The sequence below is a fragment of the Homo sapiens genome, chromosome 16 (assembly GCF_000001405.40).
Source record: "Homo sapiens chromosome 16, GRCh38.p14 Primary Assembly".
Taxonomy (NCBI): domain Eukaryota; kingdom Metazoa; phylum Chordata; class Mammalia; order Primates; family Hominidae; genus Homo; species Homo sapiens.
In genome coordinates this window covers 80,171,083-80,198,668 of record NC_000016.10, presented here as the reverse complement: position 1 = coordinate 80,198,668, position 27,586 = coordinate 80,171,083, and the positions used below count along the sequence as shown (strand labels likewise).

General features: G+C 38.3%; 1 long non-coding RNA gene across 1 annotated transcript in view, besides 1 other annotated feature; it reads left to right on the top strand.

Annotated features, from left to right (window-relative positions):
* The window catches only part of DYNLRB2-AS1 (DYNLRB2 antisense RNA 1), a 407,178-nt gene that overhangs the window by 364,467 nt on the left and 15,125 nt on the right, over positions 1 to 27,586 (top strand). The window lies entirely within an intron of this gene.
* Positions 79 to 1,278: an enhancer, noted in NCBI's record as "P300/CBP strongly-dependent group 1 enhancer chr16:80231288-80232487 (GRCh37/hg19 assembly coordinates)". NCBI's record gives its function as "activates an origin of replication core promoter dependent on BRD2, BRD4, P300/CBP, MED14 and CDK7 cofactors, with strong dependence on P300/CBP, by STARR-seq in HCT116 cells {active_cell/tissue: HCT116}" and the evidence as "EXISTENCE:reporter gene assay evidence [ECO:0000049][PMID:35650434]".

Here is a 27,586-nt window from a genome sequence, read left to right as displayed (position 1 = left end):
ACAATGGAAGAAGCTGTTGTAGGCTGTTAAGCAAATAATTATAAATAACACACTATAAAATGCTTTACATATGCCTTATCATACTGAACTGCAACACTCTGAAGTAGCTGTTATGGCTGAGTAAATTATACGTGTCTTTGAACACTACCCAAAATACATATTTACACGTACTTAAAGTCCTATGCTAAATAGTCTCTATAGCAACCAGAAAAACACAAAAGCCTTATTAAGCATGCTTCGTAGTATTTTTAGGAGTTTAATCATTAGGAGAAAGCTCATAGGCCATATAGACACCAGGGAACATAAAGAAAGAAAGTCTTTACAGGAACAAAAGAATGAGGCTGGCTTTGAACCTGGTGGGAGAGAATTTTATTTTTTTAAACTAATAATCACCAAGGGCCTTCTCTTTAGACGGCAATGCTATGTTTGGGGCACATCAGACACAGTTTTGGAATTACAATCTGGTTTCTTAACAGAGAAGAGAGATTCTTCAATTAACACGTTCCAGCAAAAGATCACTTTCAAATTTTCCTCTTTAGTGTAAGAAAAGATTTCGTTGTCATTCAGAAATGAAGTAATATGTGATGTCTGTGTTGAACCTGAGTCATACCACTCTTTGAAGGGAAATTCTAGTGGTTTCATTGGGGTGGAGCCATATCTCATCCTTTGATTATTGTATTTTTCCAGATAGTCTATGGTATGCTGCAGTAATAATGTAACCTAGAAATTCCAGTGACTCAACACTGCAAAAATTTCTGTCTTGTTTATATAACATGTCGATGCCAGTTGGCAAAGTTTCTGCTCCATACAGTTCCTCGGGGACCCTGGAGAATCCCATCCTCTTGTGATGCCACTGCTTCAACACTTGCTTGCCAGGGCTCTGAAGCAGAGAAGAGAGAACTGAATGGGTGGCTTCATGGCCCAGAAGCAGCACAGCTCGTTTCCATTCACATCCCATCGACCAAAACTCATGGCATATGTCCCAGTCGATCTTCACAAAGGACAGGAAAGATAGGGGAGCATGTAGATTATTCAGTGAGCACTAAACATCTTTGGGACAAATATTACTTATACATCAGAACTGTGCCAGATGCTTTAAGTTACTTGAAAAAATATATATATATATGTGTGTGTGTGTGTATATATATATATGTGTGTGTATATATATGTGTGTGTGTATATATATATGTGTGTGTGTGTATATATATGTGTGTGTGTGTATATATATGTGTGTGTGTGTGTATATATATGTGTGTGTATATATATGTGTGTATATATATGTGTGTGTGTGTGTATATATATGTGTGTGTATATATATGTGTGTATATATATGTGTGTGTGTGTATATATATATGTGTGTGTATATATATGTGTGTATATATATATGTGTGTGTGTATATATATGTGTGTGTGTATATATATGTGTGTGTATATATATGTGTGTATATATATATGTGTGTGTGTATATATATATGTGTGTGTGTGTATATATATGTGTGTGTGTATATATATGTGTGTATATATATATGTGTGTGTGTGTATATATATGTGTGTATATATATATGTGTGTGTGTGTGTATATATATGTGTGTGTGTATATATATGTGTGTATATATATATGTGTGTGTGTGTATATATATGTGTGTGTGTATATATATGTGTGTATATATATATGTGTGTGTGTGTATATATATGTGTGTGTGTGTGTATATATATGTGTGTGTGTATATATATGTGTGTGTATATATATATGTGTGTGTGTATATATATGTGTGTGTATATATATGTGTGTATATATATATGTGTGTGTGTGTGTGTATATATATATTTGTTGTTGTTGTTGTTGTTGTTGTTGTTGTTGTTGCCAGGCTGGAGTGCGGTGGCACAATCTTGGCTCACTGCAACTTCCGCCTCCTTGGTTCAGGCTATTCTCCTGCCTCAGCCTCTCGAGTAGCTGGGACTACAGGCACGTGCCACCACAACTAGCTAATTTTTTGTATTTTTAGGAGAGACGGACTTTCACCATGTTAGCCAGGATGGTCTCAATCTCTTGACCTTGTGATCCGCATGCCTTGGCCTCCCAAAGTACTGCGATTACAAGCGTGAGCCCCTGTGCCTGGCCACTTGATTTTATATTTAAAACAACTTTTTAACACGAACTCTGTCCATTCACTGATGGAGAAATAGGCTTGAGAATCGTAAGTGACTTATTTAATGTCACCCAAGAAGAGTAGGAAGGGTAAATTTGAAATTGAGGTCGGGAAAAGGTGAACATAAGTTACTCTGTGACTTAGCAGTTTCACTCTTAGGTACTTTTTCAGAAACACATAACGTGTTCACCTAAAGGCATGTTCATGGAATGCTCATAGAAGACCTCTTTGTAATAGCCCTAATGTGAAAACAATTCAATATCTATCAACAATTGAATAGATAAAATGATTGTGGTATGTTAACCCAATGGAATACTATACATTACTGAGAATGAATGAATTATAGCTGTATACAAACATGGATGAATCTCACAAATATTTGAGTAAAGGAAAGCAGCCACAAAATAGTTCATGTTGTATGATTGTACAACAAAGCAAGCAAAATTAATGCAGGGTGATAGAAGTCAGGATAATTGTTACATTGAGGCTTGGTAGTGACCAAGGTTACATGAACAGAGCTCCTGTGTTTATTGTAATGTTCATTTATCTGGGTGCAATTGGCGCAAAAGTAACTGCATTTTTGCCATTGAAAGTAATGGCAATTACAAAAACTGCAATTAATTTTGCACCAACGTAATAGTTATATGGCTGTGTTCAGTTTGTGAAGACTCATCTAGCTGCACACTTATAATTTGGGATATTACTTTATATATGTTAGACTTCAGTAAAAAGTCTACTTGAAAAAATGAACTTGCAAAAGCATGAATTATAGACTCAGATCAAACTGATTCCAGGGCCCTCTTTTTGACCACATGGCATTCATCTCTTTCCCAGACAGATTAAAGCAAAATTCCTCCCTAGCCTTAACCAGTCCAATTTGTTCCCACTTCATTAACACAATCCATCTATTAAGATTTTTTTTTTTTTAGAATCACAGTTTAGGTAGAAATTGTCAGCAAAATTTGAGGAAAGTGTCAAAGTCAACTACAATTCACACTAATACTGATTTTGGTGAGATAGTTCTCTTTCGTGAAATCAAATGTAAACTTGAGATCTGGAGATGAACCAGGGAAAGATAAGAAATCCCCTTTCTCCTGACCTTGAGGAATGAACATGGTCAAGTTCAGAGGAGAGAGAATAAGCCTACATTATAAGAAACCCCAAATGAAGGCTCATAATATAGACTATGGAGGGGGATGTTTCCATCCATTTCATTTGGAGCCATAATGAAACTCAAAAGTCATTGTTCCCACCCAGCAACAATGGATTACAGCTGAAAGATTAATCCCATTGGTTTTTTTTTTTTGTGACTTTTCCCTATCTAACACAGCCACCACCACAACCAGCAATTTAGTGTGGAGATTTGACTGCCAGCAAACAATACTGTCTTAAGGAAGGCATTAGTGGTAAACCCTTAAGCTGTTGTGTAAGCACCTCCTAGTTGGCAACAGAAGGCTAAACACAAAATTGCAAGATGAGCTTGAATTTAATTTTGCAGCTTTCATCTGTCATTATGCTATGGCAGTTTGGTGTTCTGGGCTTTACAGCAGCCACAGGGCAGGAGAAGGGCTTCTACTCCTAATGGAAAGAGCTTCTCTCCCACCTGCATGTATCTGGAAGCCATGCTTGTGAGATCATGGTTCTCAAAGACCTTCATCTTTGTCTTTAAAGATCTGTCGGATTCTTAATCAATTGCACTCTTTTTAGATCATGCATCCTTGTAAAACAGTGCAATTCAATTCAACAAATAATTAATGAGTGGCCACTGTATGCCAAGCACTAGGTATTTAGATAAACTCTGCCTGGCAGAAGAAACTATAGATAGTATCAATTATTATGTATCATAATGACTGTTAATATAAAAGTTTACTTGGAAGGCCATATAAGCACAGAGTTTGGGACCTTTGCCCAGTTTATGGTTCCAAATAAGCTGGGTTTTGAAGGATGAAGAAGAGATTTCCTGAAAATACAGATGGAACCTAAAAAATATGGGTGTACAGAAAACTGGAAAAAGAACAGAGTATGATGAGCAATGGGGATAAGAAGACAATAGCAGCCATATCCTGATAGTTTTTGTATATGATGCTATTATCATCATCATCATTATTATCATTAAACTTTCTTCTCCTATTGGCAAAGAGTGGCCATTCAATAATTTTTGAAAGAAGAGGAAAATGATAAGATTTTATTTTAGAAAGAGCATCTTGGCTACTAGAGTATAATAATGATATGCATATTTTAGAAAGGGGATGTCAGAAATATAAGGAGAGCTACAAGGAGATTATTGCAGAAGCACAGGTGTAAGACATTGGAGGCAGGGCCAGGTGCAGTGTGGTTCATGTCTGTAATCCCAACACTTTGGGAGGCTGAGGTGAGTGGATTACTTGAGGCCAGGAGTTCAAGACCAGCCTGGCCAACATGGCATAACCCTGTCTCTACTAAAAATATAAAAATTAGCTGGGCGTGGTGACATGTCCTTGTGATCCCAGCTACTTGGGAGGCTGATGCATGAGAATTGCTTGAATCCAAGAGGCGGAGGTTGGAGTGAGCTGAGATTGTGCCACTGCACTTCAGCCTGTGCTACAGAGTGAGACTCTGTCAAAAAAAAAAAAAAAAAAAAAAAAAAAGAAGAAAGAAATTGGAGGCCGTTGCATTTGTCAGAACTCCTTCCTGGGGTGCCTTCTATATGTTCAGTCACCATTCCTTGATAAGTCCTATTGAGATGTGGCTTAGATTATGAGAGGATCTATATGAGCTAGGTGAGGAGAGAAATGTTTTACTTGTACTGGAACAAGATGGGGAAGAGAGAGTAATGAAGAAGGGGGCAGGGAGTGGAGGTTACCTATGTAAAATATTTTTTTCTTCGGGCAAGAACCTCAAATCTTCAAAAGCCTACAGGTATCCTGTGGTTCAGGGAGTATACAGAAGTTTTTTTTCATGGTGTGGCAGACCACAGCAAAGCAGGCCATAAGGACAGCAGGACACAGTAAGCTACGGGAATGTGCAGAGAAGTTGCTGAGCACTTTGGAGCCCGACGTTGCTAGGGTTGGGTTGATGGCATGGGGCTGAGCAAGAGTAAGATGACAGTGAACTTGATAAAGGCATATCTTCTCAACAGAGTGGTATCACCCCAGGGGTAGCAAAATTTGGTTCTTGAGGGTTGATAACAAGTTTAGCTTTTAAATGTGTAAAGCACAGTTATACACACAGTGCATTACCAGATACACAGTGTTTATCTGTGACATTAAAATTTCATTGGAAGAGATGAGAAAAAATGTGTTAAAAGGCGTTTTAGGAAGATGATAATGTTAAAAATGTTGAGAATCACTGGACAAAGGAAATGCCAGTGGAGATAAATAAAAAGTGGACTGGAGAGACTTTTTAATAGAGGTGAGAGAAAGAGAAAGAGAGGCAAGAAGAAGATTCAGATGTCAGAGATAATTCTAAGGTTCTGGTTTAGAGTTCTGGGGGCATTAATTGAGATTTAGGCTGAGGAGGAGATTTGGGGTGAGTGGGTTGTAGATTATTCAAATTAATTTGTGATGAACATAAGATGATTATCTTCATTAAAAATAATTCAAATTATTAATAATGATAAATAATGGAGTCTGAGCTGTATTTAAACTGAAAATCTCTCACATGCTGGTCTGTGCTATATCACTTATCTAGAGAGTGAAATGTGTCTTACTTGATTCTGTGAACATCTTTTGCATCATGGACACAATCTGCTATTTACATTATTTCATTGGCCTCAAAACTGCAGAATAAGATGACATAGTAATGATGCCCTTGACTTCTCAAGCCCACTCTCAAATGTGAGATTTATATGATCCCTAAGGCAGAGAGTAGAAGCTTTCTGGGAACCTCTCATTTTCTCTGCAGCCCTCGGATGTGTGAGCCTAGGAACAGCGTAATTTACCATTATGAGTTTCTTGCACATTTGACAGACATACCAACTGCTCCAGCTACCCGTACAGTGTCTGCAGTGAAATCCAAGTCCACATTGTCATCCAGGGACTATGATCTTCATCATTTCTTAGTCCCACTGTTGACCTGGTGGGAGTTTACAATGATTCAGGAATGTGGTACAAAAGGTAGGAAAGGGAGCACTCAAAGGGAACAGAGAGCCGTTCTTTAACAAGAAGAGATACGAAAGGTCCTGGTTGCATAGAAGATGAATAGATGCATAGAAGGAGAAGGGAATTCATCTTCTACTACATTTGGGAAATTGTCCAAGACCTGGTGTTTTAGTCAGGAATTTCAGATTAAGGAACACCAACCCAGCTAATGGAAATCCAGATTACTGATCCCAGAAGGGAGGGACTTGGCTGCCCAATTCTAAGGGAATTGAAGATGTGTTGAAGCCATGAAGAAATCTCAATGGGAGTATTCCCAAAGTGTATAAACACACTGAGAAGGTCATGCAAACAGGCAGTCAGGATTTTGGCAGGATAGGAGGAAAACTGATTGACAGCATCATTAGCCAGTGAATATAAAATTGTGGCTTCTTGTTGATGAAATGCATGACTACAGCTTACCGTTACTGAGACGCTAGAGTTCCTGATGCATATTTTAGATCCGAGAATGCTGGGAAATGGGGGGCAAGATGAAATAGTCAGTAGAAACAGCAAAACCTTGTGGAGTTAATGGAAATTTGAACTTGTATGGATATAATGGGGAACCATCTGACTTTCTTGGTGGTTATTAGTTGTCCTCAGCATCTGAGAGAGGCAGGGAAGAGGGGGAGGGCAATAAAATACCAAGGGCTGGTGAAAACATCTCCAGGACAAAAGACTTGTCTGCACTCACTAAATCCTTTTTCAGCGTTTCCTTCCCATGCCGACCCCATGCTCTGCTTTCCTGGGCCTTTCTCATCACTTCTAAACAGAAGCAGAATCCATTTTCTACCACAGAGACTTGCAGAGGTTAAGTGAAGTCACACACACCAAATGGCCAGCACAGGGTCTGTGCATAGTCAGTTAAAGATAACGGTTTCCTTTCTTTCCTCTTATTTATGTTCATTAACTTTAATCTTTTTCCTCTTCCTCCTTCTTTTCACCTTTTAAGGGACAATCAAGGCACTTCAAACTGTTGAACTCCAGAGGGTCGTTGTGAAGGGGGCCTTTTGTCTGTATACCTTGTTCATTCATTTATTTATTCAGCAGGTTTCTACTAAACACGTATCTTGTTCTAGGCACTGTACGTGGCTCCAGGCATGCCCTGGTGAACAAAGAGGATGTACTTTCTGCCCTTGAGAAGCTTCTGATCCAGAGGGAAAGATAGACAAATTTAAAGAAATGCTAATTAATGTTACAAGTGAGATTAAATAGTCTGCTACATGAGCAAATAAGGGAATACCCACCAAGCTTTGAAGAGTATCCTGTCTTGGAGATAATGGCCTCTAGGTTAAAGCATGAACAGTTCAGTGAAGGTGTTTTGAATATCCATCATGTACCAAGCACTGTGCTAGGCTTTGGAAATATAAAGATGAATATATCATGGTCTGAATGCTCATGTAGAGGGTAGGTTTTCTGTTTTGTTTTGTTTTCTTTTTTTGAGACAAGGTTTCACTCTGTCACCCAAGCTATAGTGCAGTGGTGCAATCCCAGCTCACTGCAGCCTCCACCTCCTGGGCTCAAGCAGTTCTCCCACCTCAGCCTCCTGAGTAGCTGGGACGACAGGCATGCACCACTACGCCTGGCTAATTTTTTAATATATTTTTGTAGAGACAGGGTTTCACCATGTTACCCAGGCTGGTCTTGAACTCCTGAGCAAAAGTGAGCTGCGTGCCTCTGCCTCGCAAAGTGCTGGGATTACAGGCGTGAGCTACCACGAACAGCAGACAGTAGTTTTGACAAACAGTAAATATAATGGGTTATTTCAGTAGATTGATTAATTTCAGTAGGGTGTTGTTGAACCAGCTTGGTAGAGATGACATCTGAGTTAAATCTGGACAAATAAGTAGCAGTTAGGGAAAAAAGGATGGAGGGAGAAAATAAACAGTGTTCTAACAGAAAAGTACAAGCAGGGCATAGAGTCTTGAAAAAGTGAATCTATGATGGATACTGTGTATTTAGTATAGTTGGCATACATAGTTTGAAGCTCCGGGCAGCAGAATCTGGAAAGCCCTCAATGTGGCAATTACAGCAAGCCATGGTCATTTTGGTGAATCACTGATTAGTGGTGGTGATTGGATCATACTGTGCTTGATAAGGATCACCCTAATACCAGTGTAGACAGAGGATAGAATTTGAAATCCAATATACCAATATACCAATATATCCAATATACCAATGACCACTATACCAATAGTACCCACAAGCCTTATGCTTTCCTCCCTCACTCCCTTTGTCTTCTGGGCTGTTAGAAACACAAAATCTAAACCCAGAGAACGACCACTTGGAAGAGAACAAGCTGTTATCTTGCATTTCCCCTGTAGACATCCAGCCTTGGTGTGGATTTATACAGCTGCATTTAGAACTGATGATAGAATCATCGTTTGTTTGTTTTTTAGCTCTTCCATGACACAAACCAAGAAAAAAAAAACATAATAAAATTTTACAAGTTAGCTGCCACCAAGAATAAACAAGAGAGCACTATAAGAAATGAATCAGAGGCTCTAACTGAATCTTCTCTCAGGACAATAACTCTAATGCAAAGCCAGGGTCTGAGGAGGTCGCCATAGAAAACTCTCCTGGGGCATTTCCGAGGAGAAAGGAAATATTCTCCACCTGTCATCTTCACTTCATGTCCTAATATGTCTGTTGATGTGCAGAGAAAACATAATCTGTGGCCTCTGCTCTGAATCAAGGTTTGGATAACCAGGGCCATTAAGGTGTCCCCAAGGATCACAGAATTAACCCTCTGTGAACACAGGGAAGCTGCTGCTACTAAACCACCCGAGGAAAGCTGCCTGATTCTAATCGTGGCTGAGCCCAAGTGTCACTTGCCATTAGGTTCAATTGGCAATTTTTTTTTCTTTCTAAATTACAAGATAACCTTTAAATTGTGTACAGGAGCTCATGACTGCTGTAGATCGCAGGTAATCGGGAGTGATTTCATTTTACCCAGGGACAGGCTCCCTCCTCTGGAGTCTTTGTTCATTAAACCTCTGTCTCTCTCAGGTTCCATTTAAGTATCAATGAGGAATACATTCTGTAGCAGACGTTGTATGTTTGCTTTTAGAGTCACCTCTTTGTTGGTGGATGATCCTTTAGAGCTGGATTGTCCTGGAGCCTCTCACATGTAGACGGTGAATATGCATTCAGTGCATCCTCTGTGCGGTGTCTTGTTTACAGATCACGGAATTAGGCTGACCCCATGACCTCTCCAAAAAATCACTTGAAAAAAAATCTAAACTTCTAATTATCTTTTGCTGTTTTCAATTGAAGCAACTTTAGTATAATAACTCTTATAGACCAAGTCATAACATTACTTATCCATTTATTCATTCATTCATGCATTTATTCTTGTTACATAATTATTATATGTCTCCTGTGTGCCAGTCAGTAAGCCTGGCATTGAGTACAATGGTGCATTGGGAGCTTACAATATAGTGGTGAATAGACAAAATTAAACAGGTGATTCCCTTTTGTTGTGATAAGGCTATGAAGTGGAGAGAGCAGGAGGTCCAGTCTAGGGACATTGCCTACAGTTTTGAGGCCACAGGAAAGTCTTCTCAGAGAGTTTTACATCTGAGCAGAGGCCTGAAGGTTGAGGGGAGTTTCACGGGCTGAAGAGCTTGTGCACGGATCTGGAGGTGAGAGGGAAGTTTAGGGAGGCTGAAAATGGAAAGTGGGTATGCGTGTATGAAGAAAGCAGAGTGGTGGTCAGATTGTCCTGGAAGAATGGAGATGGAGAAAGATGGCCCATATCTCAAAAGCTTTGCGAGCCCTATTAATGAGTGAGGACTTTATCCAGAGGGCTAAAGAGAAGAGAGGAGAGAGATGATCAGATATGCATTTTAGAAAGGTCGCTGTGGACATCTTACTCATAGTGGGTGACTGGTCCTCTGAGGATCTGATGTATTTGCGAGGCTGATGGGACCTCAGATACAATAACCCTTTTCCCAGGAACAACCTCTAACCAGCTGCATCCTTTAAGTTTAAACTTTTCCTCCAAGAACACTGTCCATGCTTTATTTATTCCAATTCTGCAAGTACTGGAATGGGGTCACAGTAAGAACCCATCTAAAGAAGGTCATAGCCAAGAGTTTGAAGGCACAACAACGGCATTATTACCCACAGCCCTAGACCCTAGCCAGAGGCTACTGGTAAGCAAAGGAAATTTTAGAATTTGTTGTGGCAAAAAATAATCTAAATAGTTGCAGTTTTGTCAAGTCCTTTTGCTTTACTGAGAGAAAAAGTTTAAACACTAGAGCTATGGGTTGTAACATTTCTGACATCAGCCAGAGTCAAATTAGAGAGATGACTGGCCTGGGAGTCTCTTAAGATGTAGGTTTGAAGTCCAGTTCTGTCACTTAATAACTCCGACAACTTTCAAGACTTCATAGTCTCATCTTTTCCCCCCATCTAAATATTAGCATAACTCCTGTCCCAATGATGTTATGGAAATTAAATGACACATGCATAGGATATTGTAGATATTTATTGAACGAATAAAAATGAGATATTAGAGAAACCTTGGACTCCCTTTCTAGGCTTCGGTCTTCTCATCTGTAAATTGAAGAGGTTGGGTTAGACGCTTTCAAACTCTTTCCAGCTCAAATATTCTGGTTTCTTGATGGCCTATTTGGGATGCCAAATATATGAAAATTTGGTTTGGTACCTGATAAAGTTCAAGGACAAGATATAAAAAATATTTCTGATAGAAAAAACCCTAGTTACTCTTCTGGCACCACTGAAATTGCTCTTATTCCCAAAGCCAGGTGATTAGAAGAATGCTTATTTGCTTCTGTCGTTGACTTTATTTGACTTTCTAGTGAAGACTTGGTCTCATAGGATGAAACTGACAGCAAATTTCCTGTAAGACCACTTTGCCCTGTAGAAAAAAATAATTGATTTATCCTTTTATGTTATCTCATGAAGTACTATTGATGTTCATGCTAAAAACTCTGTGTTTCTTCCTGAGTAAGGACTCAAAAGGAGACGATTCTGACCACAGAAAATCTGATATTGACTGATGGAGTGCGTGTTTCAGATGTTTGCTGACATATGAAAGGTGATTTGATTTAGAATTTAAGCACCTCTGAGAGTTATGCCCTCTGTATAGCGCCTTTGATGTGTGCGCATTCTTTCCTTGCTGTGTTTAAAGAATTCATTCTCTCTTAGTAGGTAGACATTGGCATTACTCAGAATTTAATGCTTCTGCTAATTGACCTTTATGTACTATGATAATGAAGCTAAAAATAGACACATGTTCTAAAGATATGAAAATAGAAAGTTTTGGGGACTAGATATTTCATCTATTTAGGAATGACTAAAATATACTCTGATCACAATTTAAATATTTCTTGGCCACAGTGACCTATTATCTTCTGTATTGCTGGGGCTGGGTGTCTGGTGTTTTATACATTATCTATACTTTATTTTTTGGTACTTCAGAGAAGTCAGATTGTAATTTGATCACATAGGACCATCTGGAGGCCTATCCTAAATATAACCCTCAAACTTTAGGAAACATAGCTGCAAAATAGCTACTCAGGAGAGCAAAAATGTCAGCTTCCACCTCATTTTCTCTGGCTGTCTAAGATGACCCCTTTGAAAATTGCTTCCCCAGTATGCAGTCCCATGGCATACACTTTATTATAATCACTTCTTTGATGTCCATCTCTTAGCTTGGGCATTACATTCCCAAGGCGACAGGAACCCTAGCTTGTTCACCTCTCCTTTCCATTGTCTAATACATAGTAGGTACACAAAATGATTATCCACTTAAGGGTAATTATCGATTCATTTTGCGTTTTAATCATCTGTCTCACTCACTAGAATGCAAGTCCCATGAAATAGAGACTTCATGTTTTTAAAATACTTTATTAGAAGACTGCTGGTTATCAGTTGGTGCTCAGTAGTTAGTGAATGAATGCACATTAACAAGAAGAACCGATGTAAAAAGGCAGAAGGTGATCAGACTGATTACTTAATACTTAGGCACTTAGACTCCACTACCCAGAATAAATAAATTCTGCTAAAACTGGTCGTTTAAATTAATCCATGCAGCAGGGTGCCTTGGCTGGTGCCTGTGTTCCTAGCTACTCAGGAGGCTAAGGAGAGAGGATCCCTTGAGCCCAGGAGTTCAAGACCAGCCTGGGCAACACAGACATACCCTGTTTGTAAAAAAGGAAAAAAAAAAAGAAAAAAAAAAAGTAGGTATGGTGGTGCCTGCCTGAGGCCCAGCTATTAAGGAGGCTGAGACAGGAGGATTCCTTGAGCCCAGGAGTTCAAGACCAGTCTGGTCAACATAATGAGACCAATGTCTCAATCAGTCAATCAGTCAATAAGTAGTCCATCCACCTCTTTATTCTGAATCATCAATATTAGTCTATCTACGTCTTTATTCTGATTCATCAATCCACTTTGTTTGTATGGTGATATTTTAAGAATTCTGGCACTAAAATAATTGCTGTATCTGTTTTTCTTTTTAAAAAACCACAGCAATATTGAAGTATAATTGACATAAAATAAACTGCACAGATTTGAAATGTACAATTTGATACATTTTGATATGTGTATACTGTGGGGAAACCATCACATAATCAAGATAATGAACATCTCCATTACTCTACATGTTGCCTTGTGTCCTTTGCAGCCAATCCTTCCCTCTAGACCACCACTGATCTGCTTTCTGTCACTATTTATTAGTTTGTCTTTCCTAGAATTTTATGTAAGTGGGATTATACAGTATGTACTCATATTTGTTTGGCTTCTTTCACCCTCATTATTTTGAGATGAATCCATGTTGTAGTGTGTATCAAGAGTTCATTCTTGTTCTGTTGAGAAATATCCCATTGTATGAATATAGCTGTTTGTTTAACCATTTACCTGTTGATGGATATTTGGGTAGTCTCCAGTTTGGGGCTATTACCAATAAGGCTTCTACAAACGTTCATGTAAAAGACTTGGTATGGACAAATATTTTCCTTTCTCTTGGGCAAATATCGAGGAAAAGAATGGTTGGACCATATGGTAGTTAGATGTTTAACTTTTCTATTTTTTGTTTTTTGAGATGGAGTTTCATTCTTGTTGCCCAGGCTGGAGTGCAATGGCGCGATATCGGCTCACCGCAACCTACGCCTCCCGGGTTTAAGCAATTCTCCTGCCTTAGCCTCCCAAATAGCTGGGATTACAGGCATGTGCCACGATGCCCAGGCTAATTTTGTATTTTTAGTAGAGACGGGGTTTCTCCATGTTAGTCAGGCTGGTCTTGAACTCCTGACCTCAGGTGATCCTTCCGCCTTGGCCTCCCAAAGTGCTGGGATTACAGGCGTGAGCCACCACACCCAGCCTGATGTTTAACTTTTTAAGAAACCACTAAGCTGCTTTCTAAAGTAGTCATACCATTGTAGATTTCCACCAGCAGTTGTATGGGACTCCTAGCTTTTTCACATCTTTTCCAACACTTGGTGTGATCAGTCATCTTAGTTTTAGTCAAGCAAACATGTATGTAGAAGTATCTTCTTGTAGTTGTAATCATCATTTCCTTAATGACTAATGATGTTGGGCACCTTCTTTGTGCTTATTTCCCACCCATGTATCTTTTTATTTATTGGGTTTTCTTATTATTGACTTTCAAGAGCTCCTTATATATTTTGGATACAAGTTCTTTATCTGGCATATGGTTTGTAAATATTTTCTCAGATTGTGGCTTATCGTTTCATTTTCCTAACAGTGTCTTTTGATGAGTAGACATTTAAAATTTTTATGAAGTCCTGTTTATCAATTTGTTTATTGCTGCATACTTTTAGAGGAGTAGGAAATCTTTGCATACCCCAATGTCAAAAAGGTTTTCTCTTATGTTTTCTTCTAGAAGTTTTAGAGTTCTAGGTTTTAATTTAGAACTATATGTTTCACCATCTCTGAGCCCAAGACTTCCTGGAAGTCACAGCCAATGTGATAAGATAAATAAAATCAATGAAATATAAAAAATTAATAAATCCAGGGCTATACTGTTCAAGGTATACATTAAAGTTAATATTTTTGGATGTAGATATCCAGTTGTTCCAGTACCATTTAAAATAGAGACATCCTTTGCCCAGCTAATTGCCTTTGCACCTTGTAAAAAATCAATTGCTTGTATCTTGATTATTGGAATTTTATTATAAGTCTTGAAATCTGGGAGTGTTAGCTCTCCAGCCTTATTCTTTTTAAAAGTTGTATTAGCTAATTTAGGTCCTTTGCATTTCCTTATAGCTTTTAAAATGAGATTGTTCAATTTCTATTAAAGAAACCACACTAGGATTTTGATATGGGAGAACTGACAGCTTAATCATATTGAAGCTTCTGACCCATGAACACAGTATAGTATATCTTCCCATTCATTTAGGTCTTTAAGTTGTGCAGCAATGTTTTACACATGTTAGGGTACACATCTTTTATATCTTTGTCAGATTTGTTCCTATGTATTTCCTATTTTGAAATTAAATTTTAAAATTTCAATTTCCAGCATTATTTCCCCCAGCTTTATTAAGGTCTAATTGACAAATAAAATAGTGTATATTTATAGTAATGTTTGGATATATGTATGGATTGCAAACTGATTAAATCAAGCTACTTCACATGTCCATCAGCTCACATCCTTATTATTTTTGGTAGTGAGAATATTTAAGATTGACTTTCTTAGTGATTTTAAGTATACAGTATGTTATTATTAACTATAGTAGTCATGTTGTACAATAGATGTTCAGTGCTTATTCCTACTGTTGAGCTGATATCTTGTAGACTTTAACCAACATCTCCTCATCCTCCCCCCTTTTGCCCCCAGTCCCAGGCAACCATCATTCTATTGTTCTCTGCTTCTGTGAATTTGACTTCTTAAGATACCACCTATAAGTGAGATCACGCAGCATTTGTCTTTTGTGCCTGGTGTATTTCACTAAGCATAATATCCTCCAGGTTCATTCATGTTGTTGCAAATTACAGGATTTTCTTTTTTTTTTTAAGGCTGGACACTATTCCATTGTACATATATACCACATTTTCTTCATTCATCAGTTGATGGATATTTATGTTAATTGTATATCATGACTATTGTGAATAATGCTGCTACGAATATGGGAGTATAGACATCTCTTTGAGATATTGATTTCGTTTCTTTTGGATGTATACCCATAGCGGAATATGGAATTGCTGGATCATGTGGTAGTTCTGTATTTAATTTGGATTAGTAGTATGTAATGTGTGAAGAATCCCCATGCTGTTTCTCATAATGGCTGCACTAATGTACATTTTCACCAATAGCATACAGGGGCTTCATTTTCTCCACATCTTCACCAACAGTTACTTTTTTGTCTTTTTGATACTAGCTATTCTAACAGGTGTGAGGTGATAGCTCATTGTGGCTTTGATTTGAATTTCCCTGATGATAAGCCATAAAGAGCATATTTTAATATACTGTTGAACATTTGCATCTCATCTTCTGGGGAATATCTATTCAGGTGCTTTGCGTCTTTTTAAAATTCAGTTGATTTCTTACTATTGAGCTGTTTCACTTCCTTATAAATATGGAATATTAGCCCCTTATCAGATACATTGTTTGCAGATATTTTCTCCCATTCTGTTGGTTTTCTGTCCACTCAGTTGGTTGTTGCCTTTGCTTTGCAGAAGCTGTGTAGTTGATATAATCTTATGTGTCTATTTTTATTTATGTTGCCTGTGCTTTTGGGTTCAAATCCCTCCTCCCCCCAAAAAAGTTGCCAAAACCAGTATCAAGAAGCCTTTCCCCTATGTTTTCTGCTGAAAGTTTTACAGCTTATGTCTTAGGTGTTTTTATTTGAATTAGATTTTATATATGGTGTGAAATAAGGGTGAAATTTCATTCTTCTGCATATGGATATACAGTTTTCCCAACACTACTTATTAAAGAGACTGTCCTTTCCCCATTATATGTTCTTGGGAACTTGGCCAAAGATCAATTAACTGTAAATAGGTGAATTTATTTCTAGGCTTTCTGTTTTGTTCCATTGGGCTACATGTCTGTTTTTATACCAATATCATACTGTTTTGATTAATATACCTTTTCAGTATATTTTGAAATGAGGGATTGCACTGAATCCGTGGATTGCTTTGGGGCACTTTAAAAATACTAATTCTTCAAATCCATGAACATAGATATACTGCCATTTACTTGTGCTGTCTTCAGTTTCTTTCATCAGTGTTTTATAAGTTTTAGCATACAGATCTTTCACTGTCTTGATTAAATTTATCTCTAAGTATTCTATATTTGATTCTATCATAAATGGTATTTTCTTGATTAGTTTTTCAGATAATTCATTGTTAGTATAAAGAAATGAGAATTTTTGTAGGTTAAATTTATATTCTGCAACTTTACCAAATTTGTTTATTAGTTCCAGCATTTTTTGGTGGAGTCTTTATAATCATGTCCTCTGCAAATAATAGCGATTTCACTTCTTCCTTTCCAATTTGGATGCGCTTTTATTTCTTTTTCTTGCCTGATTGCTCGGGCTAAGACTTCCAGTACTATATTAAATAGACTTTGGGAAAGTAGGCATGTTTGTTCCTGATCTTAAAAGAAAAACTCTCAGCTTTTTCTCCAATGAGTATAATATCAGCTGTGGGCTTATTGTATATGGCCTTTATTGTGTTGAATAAACTGTAACTAATCTGTTGAGAATTTTTTATCATGAAATAATACTTGTCAAATGATTTTCCTGCATATACTGATATGATCATATGGTTTTTATACTTCAGTCTTTTAATGTGACATATCACATTTCTTGATTTGTATATGTTGAACCATTCTTGCATCCTAGGAATAAATTCCACTTGATCATGGTGTATGATCTCTTAAGGTGTTGTTGAATTTTGTTTACTAGTATTTTGTTGAGGATTTTTGCTGCCTTTGTAAAATAAGTGTGAAAGTGTTCTTGCTATCTAATTTTTGGAAGAGTTTGAGAAGGCTTGGCATTAATCTTCTGTAAATGTTTGGTAAAAATCACCAGTGAAGTCATCAGGCCATGGGATTTTCTGTGTTGGGAGTTTTTAATTACTGACTCAATCTCTTTGCTCATTATTGGCAAGATTAGATTTTTAATTTCTTACAATTTTAGTAGGTTGTATGTTTCTAAGAATTCAGCTTTTTATTGATGGTATATAGAAATACAATTGAGTTTTGTACATTATGTCCTGCAACTTTATTAACCTCATTTTTAGTTGTAGCACTTTTTTTGTGAATTTCACCAGATTTTCTATGTAGAAGATCATGTCCCATATTAATAAACCTATTTTTCACTGTTTGTTTTTCAACTGGATGACGTTTTTGTCTTTTGCTTTCCTTATTGCATTGGCTACAGTATCCAGTACAATGCTGAATTTAAGTGGTCAGAGTAGATATCTTTTCTTATCAAAGGGAGAAAAAATGTGGTCTTTTACCATTAAGTGTGATACTATAGACTACTCATGCATACTCTTAAGCAGGTTGAGAAAGCTGGGGCAATTTGTTTCCCATCTCTTTTGGATCACTGTCCTTCATTGACTGATATCCAGTGTCTTGCAAACCATTGTTTCATATGTCTGTTCTTCGGTTGTTTTTGGAAGGAGGATAAATCAGGTAATTTTTTACTCCACCTTGCCTGGAAATGGAAGTTCCAAGGTCTACTCTAAATATTTTTTAAGTAAAAATAGAAGACTTTAAACTCTTATAGCATCCACATGATTGATTAGTTTATTTTACTATGTAGAGAAAGTTTTGTTCCTCATGACAAAATAACATGAAGGCACATATCTGGTTGATATTATAATCTTGGACTGAATGATTGATTGGGTCATTCAATAACTATTTGTTATATGCCTACTACATAACAGTGCCAGGTAGACTTCCAGGCCCTGGAGATTTGTCTATAGACAAAGAAGGTAGGTTTCTGCTAGAGTGGAGCTTTCACTCTGGTGCAGGACAGAGTAGATTATTACACAAGCAAACACATAGGTAAGATAATTTCAGATAGTGAAGACCATTTTGAATCTAGCTTTGTTTTAGAGACAATGACTGGGAAAAGGAAATACTTTAGAACAGTCATCTGAGGAGTCCTCTATGAAGAGCTGACATTTGAGCTGAGACCTAAATGATGAGAAAGAACCAGTTACCCCAAGTTTTGAGAGAAGAACATTCCACATGTCAAAATAGATAAAGACCAAAAGGATTTAAGCCGGATAAAGGATTTAAAGATAGAAATACTCCCCTCACAAACAAAGAATAAGAGCCTAATAAGAAGGGACTGCAAATTAATATAAGAACCATGCTATAGATTATTTATAACAATATTCTCAGGGTAATCATGAATAAAGCATTCTCACAGAGCTTTACAGGTTGTTCCAGCAGACACTGGTCTGCCACCTGGAAGGAGCTTGAACATAGCCCTAGATTTAGGTGTGTGCAGTAATGTACTAGGGCTGGCCTGGGTGGGCTCTCCAGAGCCAGCTGTGGGCATCTTTTCTTAACTCACATTCAATGATGTCACCCTCATAACTTGACATCAACCATAGTGGGAGTATCTACACCACAAAAACGGCAAATTTTACAAATGGGGCTTTTATCCCACAGAAATCTCATTGTTAAACACTTATTAGCACACCACTCTATAACAACATTTATCAGCGCAGCAGTACATAATCAGTACTCTCTATATAATTATTAATATATATTAATATTTTCATATAGATCACAGTCTATAGCCTCTAAGAGTAAGCCAGAACATAATTTTATATATAATAACATAATTGTATACCTAAGAAAGAAGAAAGTGATGCCAATTATAATTTTGAGATTCCATGGAAAGAGGTAACATCATACTTTCAGCTATGCTAAAAATGTGAAAAACCTGAACTTCGGAATTGAAGAAATACAGCATAACTTAAGCTCATTATATAGAAAATGCTGTATAGTTTATTTTATGCATTGGTCATTCACATAAAATGCCTAGCTCTCATTACAAGTCCAAAATTTTAAAAAATCAACAACAATACAGTTTTTAGAGTTTAACAAAAGTATGTGAGCTTAATAAGCCCAATTCATAATGTAAGTCAAGATTTTGGGACCTTATATGGACAAATTAAAAAACAGCCTCCCTTTCACCTACTATCGCATGGGGCTTGCTGCTTTTTCTTGATGTATTATTTATTTGTCTGTTTTTCCCAAATAGACACTAGCATGCTTGAGGGCAGAATTCCTCCATATCTTATTTTTCTTTATATTCTCAGTGTTGAGATAGTTGCCCAGCTCACTGTAAGTGATCAAGAAATGTCAAGTAAAATAAAAATAATTAAAAAATCAATGTATTTACTTATCTATCTCATCTATCTGTCTGTCTATCAATCAATCAATCATGACCCCTAACCAAGGCATATTCATGTTTGGGTATAACATTACACACACAGATGGTAGCATGAAGGTTCTACTTTTACAGATCTTTCACTATGACTTATCAGTCAGATACATTGTTCAATAACCTCTTTTCTCTGGACAGTCTCACCAAAGAGTCCAGTACACAGTGCTGGTCATGTAACCCAATTGGTAGGGTCAGAAGTTTCTGACAAGTTAGTTGAATATAAACTTAATAAAAACCCGATTGTATTGACCGCATCACTGGCCTGCTGTGATGGCATTCGGACATTCTGACATGAGTAGATTTGTCCTTCCTTGCTCTCAAGGACTGGATGCAGGTGAAAGTCTCCAGTGAGCCTCTGTATCCCCAGTTGCCTAACAAGCTATGAGAAAGAGTCTTAGGGTAGCTCTTCTCAGACACTCTGGTTCAATATAAAAGAAACTGACCATTACTACCAGGTACCAGCCAAGCACATCACTTTGAATAGATCCATTTGGACAAGGTGGCTGCTTTCCTTTTCTTTTTTCTAGAAGCTGAAAATATCCCCTGATAGCTTAACAGAGAATAACATATTGTCCTCGTGTATTTACACAGAGGAGAAGATTTTCCTCATTGTACTTGCAATTTCGTCTTGTGTGATGACCTCCATTTTCATAATCCTTCATGGAGTATCATGATTTAAAAAGCTTTCTCTCCCTGCTGTTTCTGTTAAAAGGTTTTCTGGTGCAATTCCTGAAAAGTCAAATTCTGCATTTAAATGTTGTATTTTCACAGATATAATATAAAAGAGGCCATACTTCTGCGTATTTTTCTTCCTGGGAGAGCAGCAAGCAATTCCACCCTTCTGCATATATTGTTAACCAAGCTGTAAGAGTGTACAGCAGCTTTAATAGCAAAGCAATTGTGATTACATCTTGCTTGTAATTACATTTATTTGCTCACATATGTCCAAAAAAGCAAGCATTAGTCAGACTGTATGGGTATGTGTTTGTGCAAGGAAAATCATCCAGTGGGTTGACAGTGAGGAAAATAGCTTTTAGCCTCTTAGGTTTCTCCTATCACGGACACTCCCAAAGACTGTCAGAGCTTACTTAGTTTTTGCTTCCTTGCTTCTAAAATCGATTGCATTTGGAAAGCAGGGTGATTTATTATGAGTGATGGATTTGCATCAAAATAATCAAAATATTAGGAGGTGCATATAACAAGATACATGTCTGTGATCCCAAAGAGAAAAGAGTTAAGAAATACCATGGTTCAAAGCAGCTTTAGAAATGGCAGTTGTCCCATCCAAGGAAAGGATGTATGCTGCTTCCCAGGGAATGTAGAGGAAAATAGGAGGGTTAGGCATGAGAAAGAATTTTAGATCTGCATTTTTGAACTGTCCCTAAGGAAATGGGACAGTGATGGAAATAGCACTGGCTTTTTGTGAGGTGGATGGGTTTGGATCCTGGCTGGGCCATTTATAACTCAAAGGAGTTTGGAGAAGTTACTTTACTCCTCTGTACCTTCATTTTATTTTTCTTTCTTTTTTTTGAGATGGAGATTTGCTTTTGTCACCCAGGTTGGAGTGCAGTGGCACCATCTCAGCTCACTGCAACCTCTGCCTCCTGGGTTCAAGCAGTTCTCCTGCCTCAGCCTGCCGTGTATCTGGGATTACAGGCACATGCCACCACACCCGGCTAATTTTGTATTTTTAGTAGAGGTGGGGTCTCACCATGTTAGTCAGGCTGGTCTCAAACTCCCGACCTCAGGTGATCTGCCCGCCTTGGCCTCCCAAAGTGCTGGGATTACAGACGTGAACAACTGTGCCTGGCCTGTGCCTTCATTTTGTTATTACTAGAATGGAGGTAGCAATGCCAAGCTTACTGGGCCGTTTTTAAATTTATTACTCATGAGATTATACAAACTCCTCACAAGCAGCCACTGAAACTGGGCTGCTGCGGTATCCTCAGAACCTGGAGTAATTCCTGGAACATCATACTCAGTGAGGATTTCTTTTTAAGTAAATGAATGTAAATTACTTGATATGCACACGACTCAGACCATTGCACTGTATTATTTTCCTATTGCTGCTGTAATAAATGAGCACAAACTTCGTTATGTAAAAACACAAATCGCTTCTTTCTGGAGGTCACAAATCCTAAAATTAAGGTATTGTCAGGGTTGCAATCTTCCAGAGGATCTAGGAGAGAATCATTTTTTTTTTTTTTGGCTTTTCCAGCTTCTAGAAGCCATCTGCACTCCTTGACTCATGGCCCCCTCTTTCATCTTCAAAGCCAGCAGCAGAGCATCTTCAAGCCTCCCTCTAAATCGTATTCTCCTGTCTCCCTCTTGTAAGGATCCTTGTGATTATATTGAATACACTGAGTAATCTGGGGGAATCTCCCAATCACAAGATCCTTAATGTAATCACATCTGCAAAGCTCCCCCTTTTGCCACACAAGGTAGCATATTCACAGGTTCTTGGAATTAGAATGTGGGCATCCTTGGAGCATCATTATGTCTACCCCCAAGTATCTACTGTGGAGTAAAACCTGCCTATTTATTATCACCATTTCATTTTATTGCCTGTTGAAAGCTCCTATTGAAGACTTTCCTAAGAAGCAATGGGCCAAACTTCCAGATTCCCTTTTCATTTCCATGGCAATGGTCCAAGGATGCCAGACACCAACCATGACCTTTCAGGGCTTAATTGACAGTGATTCATCTCACTTGCATTTGGACTCAGGAGGGCCTTTTGTTGGGTTGAAGAAGTTTTCAGCAACCAACAGAGGCATGGGACTCCATCAATATTTGTGGATTAAATAAGTAAATGAATATTCAGAAGGTAACAGCCTACTTTCGAGGGTCATTTTTGAAGACAAGAAATGTCTTGTAGAAAATTATTTGTAATTGACAAAAGAGCAACATATTTCAGTAAGCATATACTGCCAGGGACTCACTTATTTAAAAAAATGTGGTGGCTCATATGCCTTTCTTCCCTTGGGCTGAAACATTTTCAAACACAGTGGTTGAGTCCTTAGTGCCTGAAGCTTGTTGGTGCCCACCAAATACTTGTGAAATACAAGTGAGTTATGTAAATCATCAAATAATTCATGGAAAAGCCAAGATCTCGTAGAAGCTTTAGGCTGGCAAAAACTTAAAGGTCCACTAAATTCAGTCTTTCAGCTAGTAGCTAGAGTTTTTCTGGCTATGCAGTTTAAAAATAATCTATTAAATTTCTTCTATGATGACACTAGAATAAATGAGGTTTCTATATTTGGCAAATTTGGTGGGAAGTTCTTTATTGCACTGAACCAAAATGATCTCTCTATACCATCTGTGCACCCAGGTCTGGTCTTCTCTGTCTCACATGTCACTCCCCTTGAGACTGGCTCCCTTTTCTTTGTACTCTGGTATATCTCACATCTCTCCTATAGCTTCTATAATGTCAGATTTCAAGGGGCTATTTTTGCATCTCTACCACTAGACTATAAATTTCCTAAAAGCAGATTTGTTTTGTCTTTGAATTCTCAGAGCCGAGCAGAGTGCAAGATCTATAGCACAGGCAGAGTCCACTTTGGTTGAATGAATGCTACAGGTAATTAAGCATAATGGAACAAGCCCAAGACATTTAGTAAAGAGAATTGGGTTTGAGGTTTGATCATGCTACTTCTGAACTGTGTGAATTGGGCAAGGCAGTTCTCCTCTCCCAATCACAGATTCCTCTGATTTTATGGCAACCACACAGGGTTGTTTTGAGGATTAAATGCGTGAATTATGGGAATGTATTATGCAAATGGGAAGGGTTGTCTCAGTGTCCTTGAAGCCACATAGAATAGATCTAATCCTTTTCTATTTGGCAGCCCTTCAAATATTCAAGGGAAGAGATCTCACACTCCATATCCCAAGCTGACAATATATATATATAATAACTAACTGTGAGGTGTCCAGAATTAAAGTTCTGAGTTTCAAATATCTACTGTGCCACATATTAGCTCTGTGACCTTGGGAAAGGTACTTAACTTCTTCATGCCTCAGTTTCCCCATCTGTCAAAAGTGAAATAAAAATAAGGCCTATTTCAACAAGTCAGTGTGAGGACTGGATAAGATATTGCATGTCAAAGCTTAGGACAGTGCCTAGCACATAGTAGGCAATCAATTATTATTATTATGCTTTTCCCTCAGCCTTGATGTACCTAGTTTCTTCTACAATTCTATGAACCTTTGTTTTCAGTCATTACTCTTTAAGAATAGTAAATAATTTTTTTTATCTTGTAAATACTTCAACCACATTTGATGTCCAATGGCTGCCTTGCGCTTTGGGTTGGGAAGGATTCTGAGGTTCTGTGTGGGTTTAACAGGAAAGAATGTGAAAATAGACTACTGGTATTTTGCAATGATAGAGAAACAGTAACACTCATGTCCCAAATATGCTGATCTCATTTGTTTGCAATTCTGAGTAAACTGGCTTTTTTTTTTTTTAATTGCCTATGGCAGCCTGTATGCCACGCTAAATTTCCTAAAGGTCAGTTTGAAAAACATGAGAGGTAAGAAGTTCCCTGACTTGTGGCTCCTTCCTCCTGTTAAATGCCAGGCACTCTTTTAGATGTTGTTGCTACAGTGCTCTTTTTGGTATTGTTCATACAGAGGAGAACAAGTTCATGTGGGGCAAGAGGGAATTAACTAAAGAAATACATTGGAAGCTAATTGTAAAGACTGGTAAGTACCAAGTGAAAAACAGAATGAGAGACTTGGACAGCACCTGGGGAGCAGGGATGGGATGTGTAATTTAGATTGAACAGTTTGGAAGGACTTCTTGAGTAGTGACATTTGAGCTGAGATTTGAGTGGGAAGGATTCAGTTTTGTATTGGCTGCTGTAACAAATAACGTTGTTATTTTGATGGCTTAAAACATGATGGCTTAAAACAACACAAATTTATTTTCTTATGGTGCTGTTGGTCAGACACAGGTCTCACTAGGTCCAAATCAAGATGTTATCAGGGCCATGATTTTTTATGGAGGCTCTAGGGGAGAATTCATTTCCTTGCCTATTTGAACTTCTGGTGGCCACCCACCGTCCTTGGTTTGTGGCCCCTTCCTCCATGCTTAAACCCAGCAATGGTGGGCTATCTATCTTCCTGACTCTTCTTCCTCTCATGTCCACTTTTAAGGGGTCTTATAACTACATTAAACCCGCTTGAACAAATGAAGCTAATCTCCTTATCTTCAGGTCTTTATCTCATTCATATTTGCAAAGTCTCTTTTTCTTCGTGAAGTAGTATCTTCCAAGGTTCTGGGAATCAGGACATGGACATCTTTGGGGACCATTATTTTGTGCACCACACAGTTATAAGGATATATGGGGCAGAGCTCACCAGGTAAAGACACCAGGAAGAGCAAGGGCTCTTGGCACGTTTAAAAGAAAGAAAGACCAACGTTTCAGTAGCCTTGTAAGCAAAGAGGGTGGCAAAAGAAGTCATGTTGGTTACCATTTACTGAGGAATTACTATGTGTCTGTCACTTGGTAAGCACTTTTTATATATTATTTCATAGATTCTCATGGCAACCCTATGACAAAGGCAGTATTATTCTCTTCCTTCTACCCGATGAGAAAATGGTAGCTCAGAAGCTAAGATATGTCTTTAAGATCACAGAACTAATATCTTATGAAGGTAGAATATGAATCCAAACACTCTATGGGTGTTTATTCTTGACCACAATACTCTTCTGCTCCCCATACCTGTAATGAATGTGCTTGGAAGTAGATCTCAGTGGAAACTTAGAGGGGGTGGTCCATGGTTATTGGTGAGCCTGGTTCCTACCTTGGCTTTGGTCTTCAGTGTGCTTTGAAAACTTTCTTACTGGTTTCGAGCTCCAGGCAGGGACATTTTCCTGAGAAACAACAATGAATTGAGAAAGAGAAAAGTAGCTGCTAACAGCTAAGTGCTGATCTAACATGAAAAACTGGCCGTTTGTAATTCTGGGAACTGGCTTGACACTCAGAGCAGGCCTGGTGTTCTTCTGTTGCACATGAAAACTTTTATGGAACACCAATGTCACAATGTCTGTGTGACCATGACAGAGCCAGGCAAAAACAAGACCACTCTGTAATCATGTCTCAGTACAGACAAAACATGAGTGTTGTTCAAAAATACAACATAAAGTACCAATCCTCAAAATACCAACCGTCCCTCTTTCCCAGATAATATGGTGACTGCAGCTTCCTTGCCAATCACAGCTGAAACCTCACAGTTGTCTGTCCCCCCATAGATCAGATATGCTAAGATACACAATCATAGAATTGCGTCCATTTACTCACAGTGCCCAATTGAGAGCAAACTTCCACTTTTTTGAATCTACTTCAAAATCACCTCACACAAGCCCAATTCCTGTAAGTTCTTTCTAGCACCTTGTTACTGAGACAATACATGGCTCCCTTTGGTGTGGTTTTCTCAAATTCCAACAAGCCAATAAACTTAACTTTGTTTTACAGGTGTGTTTCTGGGTGTCCATCTGGCGGGTATTGTCAATCAAGAAACACTAATGCATGTAACAGCACCCACATCCCTAATATTCTTCTCTGTGTTGTTGGGAGCTCTTCCAGGTTCGGTGCGGTCCTATTGTGAAAAAGGCACAGAATGCAATCTGGTGACAAACTGCAAGGAACAGAGTGCTCAGAGCACAGGAGAATATGCAGGGGGACAGAATTTAGGGTTCAGTTCACAAGTCTACACGGGTGACCTCAGGCAAGTTGTTTAATCTCAGCCTCTGTTTTAGCATCATTAAAATTAGCATAATGATAATTTACAGAAATGTAAACATTAAATGAGGTAATCCATGGAAAGAACTTAGCACAAAGCCTGCCACATAGTAAGAATAAGATAAATGCTGGCTGTTTATTACAAATACTTACTGCAGAAAAAAAGAGATTTGCTAGAGACGGCATAGTCAGGAGTGCCCAGCTGGAGAAAGAAGGGCTTAAGAAGAGACACGTAGAGAACAGGGAAGCCAATACAAACAGAGGAGGCACTGCAGGCTCCCAGAACAGCATTGGACGTCCTCAGTGATTGAAAGAGACAGAGAGCCATTCCTCTGAACCATTCTCTAGCCAAGTCACTGGGAGTGTTCAACCTTTCTACAAGCATGACCAATTCAACAGATTATGTTTCAAACTTTATCATAATAATCAAGCATCCGAGTCTTTGGAAAAGGAAAAATGTCCTAAATAATAAGATTATTTTGGACTGAAGTGGTTTAGTGAAAGCATACAAAAAAATGCAACATGGTTTGGGACTGAGAAACACTTGAATTCTTATCTTGGCTCTTCCTTTGTGACATCGAGCAACTCACTTTCCATTCCTGCAACTTCCCGAATTCTCTGGCAAAAAGGGATGGATACCTGCAATTCAATACTGTTGAATTTTTGAAGGAGAGAGTTTAGCATATTGGATATATAAAAGTATGGTATTTGTGACGGCGATGATGATGGTAGCCCTGGTGGTGATGATGGTCTTGGTGTTGGTATTGGTGGTGGTGATGATGATAGTGGTAGTGGCGGGACAGTGATGGTGATGGTAGTGGTGGTATCTCTGGTGGTAATGATGATGATGATGGTGATTGTATGGTTGGTGGTAGTGATGGTGGTGGTGGTGATGTTGGTAGTTATGAGATGGTAATGGTGAAGGTGGTGGTAGCACGGATGTAGTGATGGTGATGGCATTGGCAGTAGTGATGATAATGGTGGTACTGGTGATTATGGTGGTGCTGTGGTGGTGATGGTCATAGTGGTGGTAGCCCTGGTGGTGGTGATGGTAGTAGTCATAGACCTGGGGGAGATGACTGTGATGGTAGTGATGATGGTGGACTTACCCTACACTTTAAAGTATGAACTGAACTATTATCTTCATTCAACTGAAAGTTGTCAAGTTGATAATTTTC